This window comes from Homo sapiens, chromosome 4 (assembly GCF_000001405.40).
Source record: "Homo sapiens chromosome 4, GRCh38.p14 Primary Assembly".
NCBI lineage: Eukaryota > Metazoa > Chordata > Mammalia > Primates > Hominidae > Homo > Homo sapiens.
The window spans coordinates 135,589,416-135,605,807 of NC_000004.12; the positions used below are offsets into that span (position 1 = coordinate 135,589,416).

The following is a 16,392-nucleotide window of genomic DNA, read 5'->3' on the forward strand; positions in this document are numbered from 1 at the left end:
TGTTCCTGTCCCCATAAAAACATGTTTAGAATTTTCCTGTAAAAAATAATAATAATAAAATCTGTACTTCATATCCCTTTTTCAACTACTGCCCTATTTCTCCCCAGGTTTAAAATTACACATTTAAATAATACTGCTATTAATAAAAATACCTAATTTTTTGAGTGTTTACAGTAGACTCTAGGCATGGTGATAAGTGCTTTGCATGGCTACCTCATTTGTCTGTATTCACTTTTTCACTTATTTACTTCTTATTTTCCCTTGAGCCTACAATAATTAGGCTTTGTTTCGAAGAAGTCTATTAAACTACTCTTTATCAAGGTCCTTAATGACTTCTATCTTGCCATATGAAATGTTTAATTGTGGCATTCTCTTCATTTTATATCCAGGCAACATTTATTAATATTACTATTTTCTCTCCTTTGAGACTCTGTATTCACTTGGTTTTTGGGCTATCCCAGACCCCTAGTTTTCCTTCACCTGGTTTTCAACAGCTGGTTTTCTGTGTAATTGACAACTTAACTTTTCTTTTCTCAATTGAAAAAAACAGAGTATCTGAAAATGAATCTTGGCTTCTTTTATCTACTTACATTCACTATCTAGAAGGTCATCTAATATCAGCTTTAAATAATATTTACACGTTGTTATATCTCACTTTTATATCTGTAGCTCTAACCACGCCCCTGCTTTATATTTCTGTATTCAACTGCCTAATATATAGTTCTATTTGAATGTTTATAGACATCTGCACTAGAAGCTGCTACTGAATTTTAATTATTCTTCTCCTGAGAACATGAAAGACTACATTACCTAGCCCCTAACATTTGGGAAGTCCCCTATGACCACTTCAAGACAAAAATCTGAGAAAAAAAAATGCGTGTGACTTTTACACTTAAACACAGAAGAATGAATGTGAGATCTCCTTGTATTATGTTCTCCTGCATTAAAGAATGAGAAAGCTTTCTCAAGATGCTATGGCTACTAAAAGGTAGTATCTGCTTTCACCAAGGCCCTACGTTATTGAAAAATTTCTGTGAGAGAAACTTATCATTGTACAAAAAACTGTTAAGATTTGGGGGTAAATTAATCACTGCAGCATAACTTAGAACACTTCTATGAATATAATATCTAAAAATTAATGTCTGAAATAACTTTTTTTCTTAAAAATATTTATTCTTCAAACTATCTATAATTGTAAATGACATCATCTTTATCCAGTTAACAGATCAAACATGTAGGAATCATTCTTCATATCAACATACAGTCTCTCAGGAAATCCTATTAGTTCTAACTTCAAAATATTCCCTGAATCCCACCAGTTTTCATCACTGCCACCACAGCCACAGCCACACTCATCAAAGCCATAATCACCCATGCCTGGAGGTTTGCAAAAACCTCCCAAGTAATCACCCTTTTCAGTTTGATCTCTCAAACTACATTTCCTATAAAACCTCTCCCAATCAAAATATAACTGCTCCCACATACAATCCCTCATCTATTATCTTCTCTACCTACCAGGATGATGTAATTTCCTTTGGATTTCACTCTTGATCAGCGTGCTTTAATCATATTGATTTTCTTGATCTCAAACATGTAAAGGTTGTCTCTGTTTGGGGGCTTTTGAAGTTGCTGTTCACACTTCTCCAAAGTCTTTGCTGGTTCGCACCCTCAAATGACATACCTTTACAAACACAGACCCACAACATTCATTACTCCCTTATTTTGCTTTATTTTTTCTCGTAGCATGTATCACTTCATACAAATATAAAAGTATATATGCACATGTCTGTGGATGTGAGTGTGACCGAGTGTGTGTATGTACTTCTTTGTTGTCAAGATCTAACCTTGGATTAGAAACTCCATAAGAGAATTTTTTTTCCTCCGTTGTTTATAATTTTGTTCCTAGAAATAGAATAGTGCCTAGAATACAAGTGAGTGCTTAGTAAACATTTGTTAAGTAAAAAAATAAATTCCATTATTATTATTCTATATCCAATTCCAAATAATGAGATATGGTTACAGAATAATCTAAACCAATATTATTCAGCTAAACCTTTGAAGTTATTACTTTCTCTATTTGATATGATAAAAAGCAGCTATTTATTCCTATGAATTTAAATTAGAATCTTAAAATGCTGTGATTTCACAATTTGTTAAATAATAGATTGTTTATTCTTTCTGTTTTCTACCTAACCACATAAAGCGTTCTATGCAAGCAGAGAGAAAATGGTTCAGTTCAGCTAAGATATTTACACTGCATCATTTATTTATGCATGTATCATTAAAATCAAGTTGTGATTTGAAATCACCATCTTCATGCTTTACAAAATCAGAATTGATAATCTGTGTGAAACAAATTCAGAAACAGTTGAAAGCTAGAAATAGAAGAGGAATCATACCTTTTCAAATTTCTCTGATAAAAGACTTAAAATAATATATTATGCATATATACTGCTTTAAATACTTAAAAGATGACATGATTATATGTTATCCTTACCTCCTGGCATATCCTTAATCCACTGAAATTGCAGATGATTTTTTTTTTTTTGGCTAAACTAATGGAAACACCCAGTATTTTAGTTACCTTACCTCTCATTATTTGATGCTGCTATTTGCTTATTAAAATATTCTCTCTATGGCTTTTCTGGCATCATAACTGTCTCTTACTTTCCCTCCAAATGTTCTCATGACTGCTAGTAAATTGCTTTTACTGAGCAATGATTGTGTTCCTCAGAGTTCTTTCCTGTGTTTCTTTTTGTGTTCTATGCTTCACATTCATCATAGTCATTCTAGGCAATCCCTTAGCTACCATAAGTTTAGTATATCTATACAGAGTCCACATATCAATAACAATTAAATGTCCAATTTTTCTATTTTGTTCAAATGTAATATTCACAGCAGTCAATCTAGATAATTTCTTCAACTACCACAAGTTTAGTTATACATCAGCCCGTGTATCAATAATAATTTCAATCTTATCCAAATGTGATCTTCTGTCTTCTCTTGGATGTCCTAAAAAATATAGTATGATTAATATCCCTAAATTAATTAGCTTCCCTCTAAACCAATCTTATCTTCCCTTTGTTAACATTCTATGTGAATTCCATAAATAGGCATCGACTTCAGCTCTGTTTTTCCTTCCCATATAAAATTTTGAGCAGTTAATTCTATAAACATGTTACTAATTCAAACTGTGGTGAAGAATTCCAACAGGTAATATCAGTTCTGTTTTTCTTCCAGACATTTAAGTTAAACTTTACTGCCCCCCATTTGAAGATAGGTCAAGGAGACCTTATAATATATTTGGTTGTGTTAAATACATTTGGGAAAATATTCTTTCTCAGTTTGTAGTTTATCTGTTTACTTTATGTAGGTTTCTTTTGGTAAACAGAATTCCTTATTCTTCAAACATTGTTTATTCTTCATACATTTATCTACTTTTTTTTTCTTTCATGGTTAATTCTTGTGTGTTTTATTTATTAACTATATCAGTATGTCAAAGTAAGAAACTATGCACCTATAATTGACAAATAATTTTATCAAGAAAACCGGAAAGATTTCTACTGTTTGGTTGGCTAATGGAACACTGCAAAATCATGAAATGATACTGCGTAAAGGAAAAGACAGATAAAAGCACTGTACATATGAAGATGTGCTCTACCACACCAATAACCAAAGAATGAAAATTTAATGTATCTACCACAATATAATATTTTACACATATTCAATTTGAAGAAATTAAGTAAGCTGGAAATGTTCCATATCAGAAAGAATGTGGATCAATAAAATCTTTTTTACAACCATTTTGGAAAACAGAGTGTCATTGTCATTGTAACACTGAAATATTTCTCACTTCTTGACTCAAAGTTTCTACTTCTAGGTAGATACCTAAAGACATAATTATGCATATGTTGATTGGAAATTATATATGAATAGGTTCAAAACAAAATTTGTAATAGATAATCAACAAAGGGTCTTTGATAGGAGAATTAATAAATATGTGGTATATTACCAAAGTACATATAGTAGCTAAAATGCCTAGGCTAAAGCTACGTATAAAATATATGAACAGAACTTCATAATAATTTTGTTGAATACAGAAAGCAAACCCCAATGACTATATATAATATAAAATTATTGTAATAAAATCCAATTGTTAGCAAGAGTAAATAATTTATTTAAATATTTTAAATCCAGAAAGTATAATTAAGACAAAATTTAGGATACAAGTTAAATCTTGAGGGTAGGTGGGAAGTAGTGAGAAAAGACCCTATACAGAATCCTTTTAGCTGTGTACACAGGTTAATATAGGCTACTGGTGATGTTGTAGTCACTGGTTGAATCTTGCATTCAGAGGTATTCATTATGTTATTTAAAATGAATGAATAATTTAATTAGTCAGGTATAAATGATAAAATAAATTATGGCTACACATAGACTGATACTGATAATATGTCATTAATGAAAGTTTAACTTTCTTTTTATATATCTGGGTAATTTTTGTTAAATGGTATGTTCGGTGATACAAAGACCTGGGCTGTGATAAAACATTAGATATTAATATTTTCTTCATCAATTCCATTAGTATTTATTTTCTTATATAATCCTGAATTATCTTCCATATGTTATTCAGTCCAGAAACACAAAAATTATTTACAGCTACTTTTAAACATGTTTTTTTAGTACAATTTTAGATTCACAGCAAAATTGAGTCTAAAGTACACAGAGTTCTCATATGCCACCTGCCCCAACACATGAATAGTGTTTCTCATTATGAACATCTCCCACCAGGATGAGACATTTAGTACAATCAAACTCCTGTTGACACATCATCACCCAAAGACCATAATTTACATTAGGGTTCACTTTTGGTGTTGTATATTTTATAAGTTTGGACAAATGCATAGTGACATAAATTCACCATTTAACTATCATACACAGTATTATCACTGCCCTAAAATTTTTCTGTGCTGCATCTATTCATCAGTCCCTCCCCCAAGCCCCTGACAACCACTCATCCTTTTACTGTCTTCACAGTTTTGTGTTTTCCACAGTGTCATTTAGTTGGAATCATATAGTATGTAGCCTTTTCAAACTGGCTTCTTTCACTTAGTAATATGCATCCAATGTTCCTCCATGTCTTTTCATCGCTTGACAGCTCATTTCTTTGAAGTGCTGAATAATATTCCACTGTCTGGATGCATCATAGTTTATTTATTCATTCATCTACTGACAGACATCTTAGTTACTTCCAAGTTTTAGCTTTTATAAATAAATCTACTATAAAAATCTATGTGCAGGTTTTCTTGTGGACATAAGTTTCAATTCCTTTGGATAAATTACCAGGAAGTGTGAATGGTGGATCATATGGTTAAGAGTATATTTAGATTTGTAAGAAACTGACAAACTGTCTTCCAAAATGGCTATGCCATTTCACACTCCCACAGGAAATGGATGAGGGTTTGTGTTACTCCATATATTTGCCAGCATTTGGTGTTGTCAGTGTTCTGGCTTTTGGCACTTTTAATGGGTGTATATGATATAGAAGTTAAGAAGAAATTATTTAGGAAGATAGTAAGGGCATAGGAGTCCTCAGTAAGGCTTTTCCTTTTAATGAAAAGCAGCCCAAAATCGTTTTCTAACAAAGAGCAGCCTGTAAAGTTGAGCTGCAGACATAGACAAGCAAGCTGGGAGCTTTTACGGGTGAATGCTCACAGATACTAAAAATCAGACATGTTAAGATGGTGGCTCCATCTTCCTTTCCCTGCCAGCCATGTGTACTATCAAAAGCAGACAAGATAGCACTGATCAACTACAAAACCCATTTGCATAAGAAGATTAGGGTGGGGCAGACAGCTTTCCCTACATGCTATGTAAACATCAGGCCTTATCAAAGGAACTGTGAGCCGTATGGAAATCAGATACTGCCTCCCCAAACTAGACTATAAAATTTGGAAAATTTGCCACCACCTGATCTTTTTTCCACTTGGAGACCCCTTCCTATATAGAGGAAGCTGTTTATCTTTCTCTTCTCTTCTACCTATTAAAACTCTGTTGCTAAACTCCTCATGTGTGTATGTTTCCTTAGTTTTCCTGGCAAGCAACAATGAACACTAGGGTATATACCCCAGACAATATAGCCACTTCATAATGGGGAACTTGTCCGGGATACCAAGGTATAACATTCATTAAAACAGTGAGTAGAGAAGTGGACGCCAACTCTGTCTTTTTCATTTTGAAGCTTTTGGCCTCCATTTTAGAACTGAATTAAACCAATTACTGGCCCCCGCTTCAGCCATTTAAAAACAATTAGCATGGCTGCCAGCCTTACAAGACTTGAGGGAAAGGCTTGCTGAGGAGAACATGGAGAATCCCCTGGTAACCACGGGTTGCTGGGCATATTGGCCATGCTTTAACAAGCTTCTTTTCACAGAGGACTTAGCCATTGAATGGGACTGGAAGAAGTCCTGAGGCAACTGAGGATTTCTGGCCCGGGATACCCCCAAGGGTTATCCAAAGGCCTCTGGACTGACCCCAGCCTCTAACTGCCTTGATGGGGTGTCGGCAACAGGCAATACAATTTCCTATTGTAATTTCCTTCTTTCCTGCTCATGACCATAATATTCCTTACTTTCTCTGTGTATGCAGTGTTCAGGAACTTCTACAGTTCAGGGAAATAATCTTGTTTGGTAAGATCAGGGAATGTCGTAGTAACTGGGGATATAACTCAAGGGAAGATATCTTTTTTTAATTCTAGAAACAGAGGGTTCTCCCCCACCCAACACACACAGTGAGCATCTCTTTTTCTCTCAGCTCTTGGTCTGGAGAGCACATGGCATTTCCAGGTCTTTCTCTGTCCTTGGTCTGGAGAGCACTCAATGTTTCTAGGTCTCTCTCTGTCCTTGTTCTGGAGCACATGGCATGTGAATGTCACTCTGCCCTTGGTCTAGAGTACTGGTCTACCTACTGGAATAGGGATCCTGTCCATGAGGCACATTGTTGGTCCTTCACTGAAACACCCTAGCCTCCAAATCTCTCCCCTTTTTGTGCCTCTCTACTGGAAACCAGGCTTCAAGCTGCTTCTGTAAACGGGAAAATTCTGACTTCAACAATTAGGGGTAAAGTCTCAATACTGTCCCATCAGCAGGAAAATGGCCATTTGGTCCCTACATTCTTTTGAGGCACATATTCTGCCTCCAATTAGAGTGGTACTTAATTGGTAAGGGGATTTTTAACTTCAGAAGTTAATCAGAACCATGCTTTAAGGGTAAACCCTTCAACATGGGCCATAATATCAGGACATAGGCTTCAATCTGCACACCACCTCCATTAAAGGGGCCTTGCTCAACTATTACATAGTTTTTCTTGAGATCCATTTTTCAAGCAGTCAGGGGGTCAAACAAGTCTAGGAATTCAAAGGGAAATCACAGGCAGAGAACTAGAGCTACTTGGGCAAGCATGACTAACCTAGTTCCTCTGGTTGCATGGCTGGGGTTCATGCCTGCAACCATCAGTGGCAGGTTCAGCAAGGTACTGGGACCCAGGAACCATGGAGAGAAAACAGCAGAGGGGACACCTCCATTGTCTTCCACTCCACCCTGGGTCATACCAAAAGGAAGGAGACTATAGGAACACCTTTTTCTCACTTCTCTTTCTAGATGGGTGCTATCTTCAGCCTGCACTCCCCTGGAGTTCATTCTGAAGCACTGGGACTCCTTTCACCCTGAGACTTTAAAGAAAAAGTGTCTCATTTTCTTTTACACAAGTTCATGACCTTTTTACCAGACCTTTGCAAACATTGCAACATCAACTCAGCTTTTTTCACAGTCCTATCAGGCAGCCTAAAGAGAATAATTCCCCAAAGTTAGAGAAGCAACTTCCAGAGGTACCATCTGAGGATCGCCATATATGGGGGCCCTTCAAGTTCCCTTATCATTACAGGACCATAAGCAAGTAAAAAGAGACTTAGGCTGACGTTCTAATGACCTTGATATTTATAAAGAAGCTTTCCAAAATTTAACTCAGGTATTTGACCTCTCATGGAGGGATGTTATGCTGTTCCTAAACCAAAATCCTAACCACAGCTGAGAAGCAGGTGGCTCTGTAAGCAGCAGAAAAATTCAGAGATGCGCAATATGTCTCCTATAGTAGGCCTAAAAGAAAAGAGAAAATAGGAAAGGCAAAGAAATAGGGGAAACACCATACTCAATAGGAAAAATGGCAGTACCTCTTGAAAACCTTAATTGGAACCCGCAGGCTTTTCTATGGTGTTTTTCCTTCTTTTACAGTTTCAACTGGCTTTTTTATAATGTTCTTTCAACATGGAAAGAGTTAATTTCACCAAACCTTAAAATGTTTGGCTTAGAGTTAATCTCAGGTGAAGGGAACCTAGTAGCCTGACATGCTGGCAAGAAGGTAAAAGTTTGTTTTTTTTTTTTTTTTAACCAGTCGAGCTTTTGGTTTCTCTCTCCCCATGCAAACCGGCAAAAGGGATAATAAGGATTGTTGTTTATATTCTCTGTACAGTTTTAATTAGTGAAAAAGGATTTGTGAGGTTGGTCTTAAGCTATAGCCAATCTGGTATACTTTGTGTGTCTTTCTGTATGGTTCTGTCAAAAGAAAGGATACCTTAGGTTAGGATGGAGACCCAGGACTCCATAAGCCTACTGTTCAAGCCAGCCCAGCAGAATGGTCAGTAATAAACGTGGCTATAAGCCTCCATCCTGTTTCATGTCCTTGGGAACATGACCCAATACTTCGTTTTAGTCTTTGCCATTTTACAGTGCTGGCTGTTTTCTTGTTCTGAGTCAGTTCCTGGGTGAGGGCCACCAAATTAGATAAGCCAGTTTATCAATCTGTGTCAGGCCAGCTAATCCATCAAGGGTAGGGTATACAAAATATCTTAAGCACTGATCTTGAGAGCAGTAAACAGAGGGTCAAAATCTTGGAGCCTCCAGCTGTGTGATTCCTAGGCCATGGTTTCTTTTTCTAAACTTGTGGCTAGATTCTTGGTCTGGTTCCCAGGCAAGAGGAAAATATTCTTAAGAAGAGCTATTATCATATTTGTTTTAGACAATAAACTGTAGATCAGTCTTCTCCCAAAGTTGGTTTTGCCTATGCCCAGGGAAGGGCAAGGACAGCTTAGGGGCTGGAAACAAAATGGAGTTGATTGGGTCGTATCCCTTTCACTATCTCAGTCACAATTTTGCAGTCTTTCTCAAGCTGCCTATTGCCCCTTTGAAAATACCTTGCACACTCGTGGTTTAGTCATGACCTAATTTTGGCTTGTGCATTTCACTTGTGAGGTTACTTTTTGTAAAATTCAAAGCTGAAAATCTTAACTGCTTGGCATGGCTAAAGTCATTTAACAAGGGACTTAAAGAAATTTTCTTAAAGAGTATTTAGGTTAATTAAAAATGGATATTCAAGTTATAGGTATATTTAAAGGCCTCTATGTTTTTCTCTTCTTGGATCTTGTTTTTCTGGAATAAGTTTTCTTCTTCTTGGTTGATTGAATTATTTTTCTCAATTTTTTTGACTTGCCACTCTTAATACTCTTAATGAGAGGCCCTAAGATAACTTCTGGTATGATGGGACTCTTTGGGAAAAACAAAGGAGGTGCAACAGACTCCATTTTGGGGAAAAAACCCTCTGTTTTCCTCCTAAAACCCAAGGAATTAAAGGCAGATACTTCTCTCTCAAAATCAAAGGCTTGGTTCTGTTTTGCATTTTGTTATCTGTTTTGAGTTTTTGGGGTATCCAATTACTTCACATTAGGAGAGAGCTTTGTTGTGTAATAACTAGGTAGGAAATACACTTTAAGGGATGGCAAATAGTAGTTATAAATCAGAGAGGCATGCTCTTGGCCACCCAAAAGATATGGAAACGTCCCCACCCCCGTCAGAGAGATAAGACTCCCATGGAGGATGGGCTAATTACAAAATAAGCCAACTGGCTTTGGGTTGTCCTGCAGTGAAATTCATGGTAGAAGCACTACACAGACTTCTTCTATAGTAGCTCCTGCTTTTTGGAGATCCAAAATTCGGTATAAAATGGCACCTTTAATTTTAGGGATCTGTTTTTACCTTCTGCTATGCCTGCTTATTAGGCCCTAGAAATGCATGCTACCTGGCTCTCTTCCTCTAAAGTTTCCACCCTGATGCCAGTAATCCAATTAAGAAACCGGCAAATAAAAAATCTTACAAGTGTTGAATCTTGTGTTTGTGTCACTATATATGTGTTGTGTGTAATGTCTATAAAAAGAACACTAATTGATGGGCTTGAAGAAAAATAAGCACTTAAATACTTTTTAGTTCATGTGATTTTTGTCTTTAAGAAATAAAGATACTCTTCAGGATTACTGGTAAAATGCAAGAGCTATCAAAATGCAAATAGGTGGTCTAAATCATTCAACTTAGATACTAGGTTTGTTAAATGTTCCCAGATTGTATTCTGCCTGCTTTTCAGATAGGTAAGGCCTGGGACTTGTGGAACTAGAGGCTGAAAAGAGTCAGACCTTATCTTCACTTCTTTCTGAGTCCTAGGCTCCACACTTCATAAATAATTAAAACCACTTATTCACAAGGTTTTTCACCAAAAGTAAAAGTTGCTAAGAGTTAACAGTGCAACATTTATTTGAGATCACTAAACAGTCTTATATACAAGGTGTATGAAAACAGTAAAATGTGTTTTCTAGTAAAAGATTATAAGAAAGCATGGAAATGTAAATTTTGCCCAGTGATGAAGGATGATGTTAAATTTGATATGATAAAACTAAAGATTTAAGCAAATTGTGGAAATATTGTAAAAATTAATCTTGCAAAAATGTGTAAACATTAAATTCAAAAGGGTATTATATGGTCTTTTCATAAATTGAGCACTGAAATAAAAACACAGCAAGGTTGTCTTAAGAGGCTAATCTGCCCTTTTGCAAAAGGGTTTATAAAAGGTTTATAAATATTTTACCTCATGGTCAAATTTGTTAAGCTTAGATGGAATTTTCTATGAGGTTTTATCAAAAGGTGGTTAAACATAATAAACTAATGCAAGGGTAAAATTTGGCTTTGAACAGGATTTTCACGTAATAGTAAAGGGTAATAGAAGGTTTTTGCCTTCTGAGTCATAATTTTGGCAAAATAAATAATTTATGGCAATCTGGAATTCTATTTCATAACATCAAGTGTTTTAAACCTCTAACATTTAACAGGCATCCCAAAATCAAACTTCAAGTTTCAAAATTGTCTTTCCTGATGCCTGGCTTTCTGGATGGTTCAGAGGGCCCCTGAAACATTCAGAGAAGAGGTAAAAATGATTATTTGACATGTTTAGTCACATGAGATTGCCAAAATGATGTCCAGTTTTTTTTTAGCTTTTTTTCTGAGTATATGCTATCAATCATAGTTGAGGTTAAAGTTATTGTAAACCATGGTGATAACTAAACTTCTTTGTAAGTCATATTTTTAACTATAAGTACTCTGGAAATTTTGTCGTTCACAGATAATTGTTGTCTTGCTTCGTTCCTTCTCAAAAGATGGTTTAAAATCAAGGTGTAGGACTTTATATTTTAAATAGCTTTGAAGATTGTAACATGGGAATAGAGAAAGAATGTATGGGACTCATAAAGAACTGACATGTTCACGAATATCAAACAAAATAGTAGTTAACTAAATGGACTGCACTCAGAAAGTTAAAGCAACCTTTTTGACTTTTTCTTGGAATATTTCTGATCCTTGTTTTGTTTTTCAGAGTCAAGGAAACTTATTTTGAGCTATTTAGGCCTCTAATAATTAAGTGAGTTATATTCCAGTGGACAACATTTGGAGCATGTTTGTTTCTCTCTGCCTGGTTCCTCTGAAATTTGGAAATTATCTGTGAGTAATCTTAACTTATAGCAACATAGTTGTTTGCAACAGGGCAAGAGGAATCCATTTTTCTTTTTCAACTGGACACAATTGGAAAAAACTGGTTATTTCATCAAAGCTTTGACTGGAAGGGTATGCTTCCCTTTAAGGAATCAATCTTGACTTGTAGAGCTGATAAAAGCCCCATGGAGATAACTGGCCTCATACCTTTTCTACACAATCCCTGCACAGGGTTCCTAACCTGTGGTCAGTAAAGAATGTCGCTTTCTAACAGGTCCAGCAACTCCAAGTTTATCTTGGGACCATAAGAGAATAGGATTACCCAATTCATATGTATTTGAGGATACAAATCCATGGCTTGACTCAGCTTTAAAATATCTTATCTGAGATTCTTTGAGGAACAGACTTTCATCAAAGCCAATCCAAAAGGACTATGTAGAAATAAACATTTTTGCTGCACTTTATACAAATAATCAGACCAATTATGAGACTAAAGTTTATTCTATGAAAAACACAGTTCTGTCATAATTTGTTTTTGCCAAAAATGAGAACTGGACGTAGAAATTATGCTCCAAACTTGATCACACATTTGTCATTAAATCCTAGTCTCATTGTTTTTAAGTCTTTTGTCTATATTTTAGACTAACACTGCTTATTTTGTGAATCAAGTGGTGATCTCCTGCAGCTTGTAGGAAACAAAAAGGGATGGGTAATGTAAATATCTAGATCAATTATTCTGCAAATTTTGCCAGGTAATAAAAGTGAGTAGGGTGCCCATAACACAGAGGTTCTTTTCGTTTGGGAAAATAAAACAAAGGAACTTTATAGACCCCCAAAGGGAAATTCTCATCTTGCAAGTAAAATTTCAGATGGAGTTAATCTACTACATTACCCTTGCAGAAATTGCTATACTCACTCTACTATTTGCAGTAGAGCTATACGCAGTAGCACCTTCTAACTGAAATACTGGAAAGAAAGTTTCCATTGCTGTAGTATTTTGCTTAATTATTATCTTTATAGCAGGGATAATAGTTACCAAAAAAAAGAGGCTTGAAAGTTTTACTATCAGCTCTGCTAGGACTTTTTATTGGGTTTGGTGATACATCACATCTTTTAGCTCCTGCAATATCAGCATTGGCCTTTTGTACAACAAAACTAATTGCTGGGTCTGTCCTGAGTGGTTTGCTCAGTTCGATCACACTAAGGAACCTCTCAAATGACTCAGAACTTACTGTCTTAGGATTCCCTTTGTTAGTCTCACCTTTAACACTTAAGGACTTATCAGGCATAAATGTGACATGGTATGGGAGCACTTTCAACTGGGTAACTAACTCCTCTCAGGAAACGCATGTTTCCAGTGCCAAAGAACACTCTCGCCAAAGGTGAGTTTCACACCCTCAGGCTTGGAAAAGTTGACCAGGTAATAACAGATGCCTTCCTCTGCTTTAAAAGCAGCGGGAAAGGACCATATTTGGGAGATCTCAAATAATGTAACATGACACTCGTAATTGCTGATAGTTCAAAGATTTGGTGAGGAAAGCACAATAAGGGTGATCTTTGGAGATCACCCGTATTGAGGGGCATTCAGAATCTAGGCTCTCCTTCTGGTTGGAAGTCCCAGTGGGACTGGCATGATCTAAGTAACCACCTTGACTATAATGTAAAGAATAACACACAGGCCTTTCCAAACAAGCCACCTCATGGAATTCCAGACCCTTGTATGATGTTTGCTAATAGTAGTGTCCTACAAATCTGTGAGAAACTTGGAGACATCTGGACCAATATCCCTTGCCACAAGGATCATCTGAGATATTGGACAGTGCATATTATATCCCCAATTTTTTGAAACTCCATTTGTCAGGTGGAACTTTCTCATTTAGCATGTAAGATTCTAAACGGCATTGTGAATGACTATCCTGAGTATGGGTAACCCTGTCCCAAAGATGCTTCTATTATATGTAAGAGGAGAAAGCTTCTAAGAGATGAGAAAGATCTGCCTGTGTCCCTCACAAGTCACAACTTAGAACCATCACTTCAAGGACAGGTTTATATTTCCTTTGTGGCTCCTGGCTACACTTAATCCTCCCTAGGCATTGAAAGGAACCTGCATTGTAGTAGGAGTGATTCCTCGCCTATTATTTTTATTTATTATTATTATTATTTATTTATTTATTTATTTTTGAGACTGTGTCTTGCTGTGTCGCCCAGGCCGGAGTGCAGTGGCACAATCTTGGCTCACTGCAAGCTCTGCCTCCTGGGTTCATGCCATTCTCCTGCCTCAGCCTCCCAAGTAGCTGGGACTGCCACAACATCCAGCTAATGTTTTGTATTTTTTAGTAGAGACAGGATTTCACCATGTTAGCCAGGATGGTCTCAATCTCCTGACATTGTAATCCACCTGCTTCGACCTCCCAAAGTGCTTGGATTACAGGCGTGAGCCACTGTGCCTGGCCTATTATTTTTACATTTCACTGGCATGGCTGCATCATCTGGGTACATCCCTAACCTAGGTTCCTTTTTAGAATGTGCACCATACTGAATAGGCCAAACAAAGCAATCTGTTATTTCCATGTCCTCGTATGGAGATTTAACCAAAAGAGAAGATTGGGGAGTGCATGCACATGACAATCCCATCTTAGAAAGACCACGAATGGGGAATTCTATAACCAGAGTCCTCTTCTGGCTTGCTGGTATTCCTTTCCTCGTAAGGTCGGTAATTAACATGCATTTCTTCTGAGGACCCTTAGTTCAACCCCAGGAGGAGTGCTAGCTGCTGTTCCCCACATGGCACCTATTTTCAGCAGGAATTATCCAGAAAGAGTCATTGCCTGACACCCCCTAACAGCAGTAAGTGTTACCACTCCAGATGGGAGAATGGTATAGGAGTTAAGAAGAAATTATTTAGGCATATAGTGAGGGCATGGGAGTCCTCAATAAGGCTTTTCTTTTTAACGAAAAGCAGCCCCAAGTCATTTTCTAACAAAGAATGGCCTGTAAAGTCAAGCTGCAGACATAGACAAGCAAGCTGAGAGCTTGCACAGGTGAATGCTGGCAGGAACAAAGAACTAGACATGTTCTAGATGGTGACTCCATCTTCCCTTCTCTGACAGCCACATGGACTGTAAAAAGCAGAAAAGATGGCGCCAATCAACCAGAAAGCCCATTTTTATAAGAAAATGAGGGTGGGGTGAACAGCCTTCCCCCATGTGCTACCTAAACAGCATACTTGATCGAACCAATCTGTGAGCCCTAAGGAAATCAGACACCACCTCCTCAAACTGGACTATAAAATTTGGTGCATTTGCCACCAGCTGGTCCTTTTACTGCTCAGAGACCCCTTCCCATAGAGAAAACTGTTTCTTTTTCTTCTATTCTACCTATTAAACCTCTGCTCCTAAATTCCTTGCCTGTGTCCGTGTCTTATATTTTCCTGGCATGCAACAATGAACCCCAGGGCATATACTCCAGACAAGGTAGTCACTTCATATAGTGGTAGATACTTTTTTAACAAATAAAATGACATAGTCTAGCTCTACAAATATGCTTTCTGACATCATCTTCCTTCAAAGAATTTTTTTTTAGTGCTTGATTTTCCTTAAATGTATAACCTTATTTTGACACAATGTTTGCCTCAATACTTTATAAAAAGTTGAAAAGATTGTTACTGTAAAGGAGAGTCTCAATCCAGACCTCAGGAGAGGGTTCTTGGATATTGTGCAAGAAAGAATTCAGGGCGAGTCCATAGAGTAAAGTTAAAACAAGTTTATTAAAAAATTAAAGGAATAAAAGAATGGCTACTCCATAGAGAGAGTAGTTGAGAGCTTGAGCTGCTCAACTAAGGATACTTATTGTTACTACTTGATTGTATGCTAAACAAGGGGTGGATTATTCATGAATTTTCCAGGAAAGGAGTGGGCAATTCCCACAACAGATGGTTCCTCCCTTTTTTAGACCATATAGGGTAACTTCCTGAAGTTGCTATGGCATTTGTCAACTGTTGGGGCACTGGTAGTTGTGGCTTTTATCATGCAAATAAATTATAATTAGCATATAATGAGCAGTGAGGACGACCAGAGGTCTCTTTCTTTGCCATCTTCATTTTGGTGGGTTTTGGCTGACTCCTTTACTGCAGTCTGTTTTATGAGCAAGGTCTTTGTGACCTGTATCTTATGTCAACCTCCTATCTCATCCTGTAACTAAGAATACTGAACCTCCTGGGAATGCAGCTCAGTAGTTCTCAGCCTTATTTTATCCAGCTGCTACTCAAGGTGGAGTCTCTCTGGTTCAAATGCCTCTGACAATATGAATATAATTTTATTTAATCAATAATTTTATAATATTTAAAAATATCTATCATTTTAACTGAGATGTTTTATCAAAAATACTTTTAAGAAAAACAAAATTAGCAAATATTCAGAAAATAAAAAATTTGAATCTTACATGGAATGCTTATCTTATAAGAAATCATTCTGTAGACAACAATAACAAATTGAGAAGTTATCTTTGTATAGATATATGCTTAGAAAATTAA

General features: G+C 36.5%; 1 annotated feature.

Annotated features, from left to right (window-relative positions):
* Positions 15,610 to 16,155: an enhancer, noted in NCBI's record as "OCT4-NANOG hESC enhancer chr4:136526180-136526725 (GRCh37/hg19 assembly coordinates)". NCBI's record gives its function as "activates a minimal SCP1, AML or CMV promoter by ChIP-STARR-seq in primed H9 embryonic stem cells {active_cell/tissue: H9 hESC(primed)}" and the evidence as "EXISTENCE:reporter gene assay evidence [ECO:0000049][PMID:30033119]".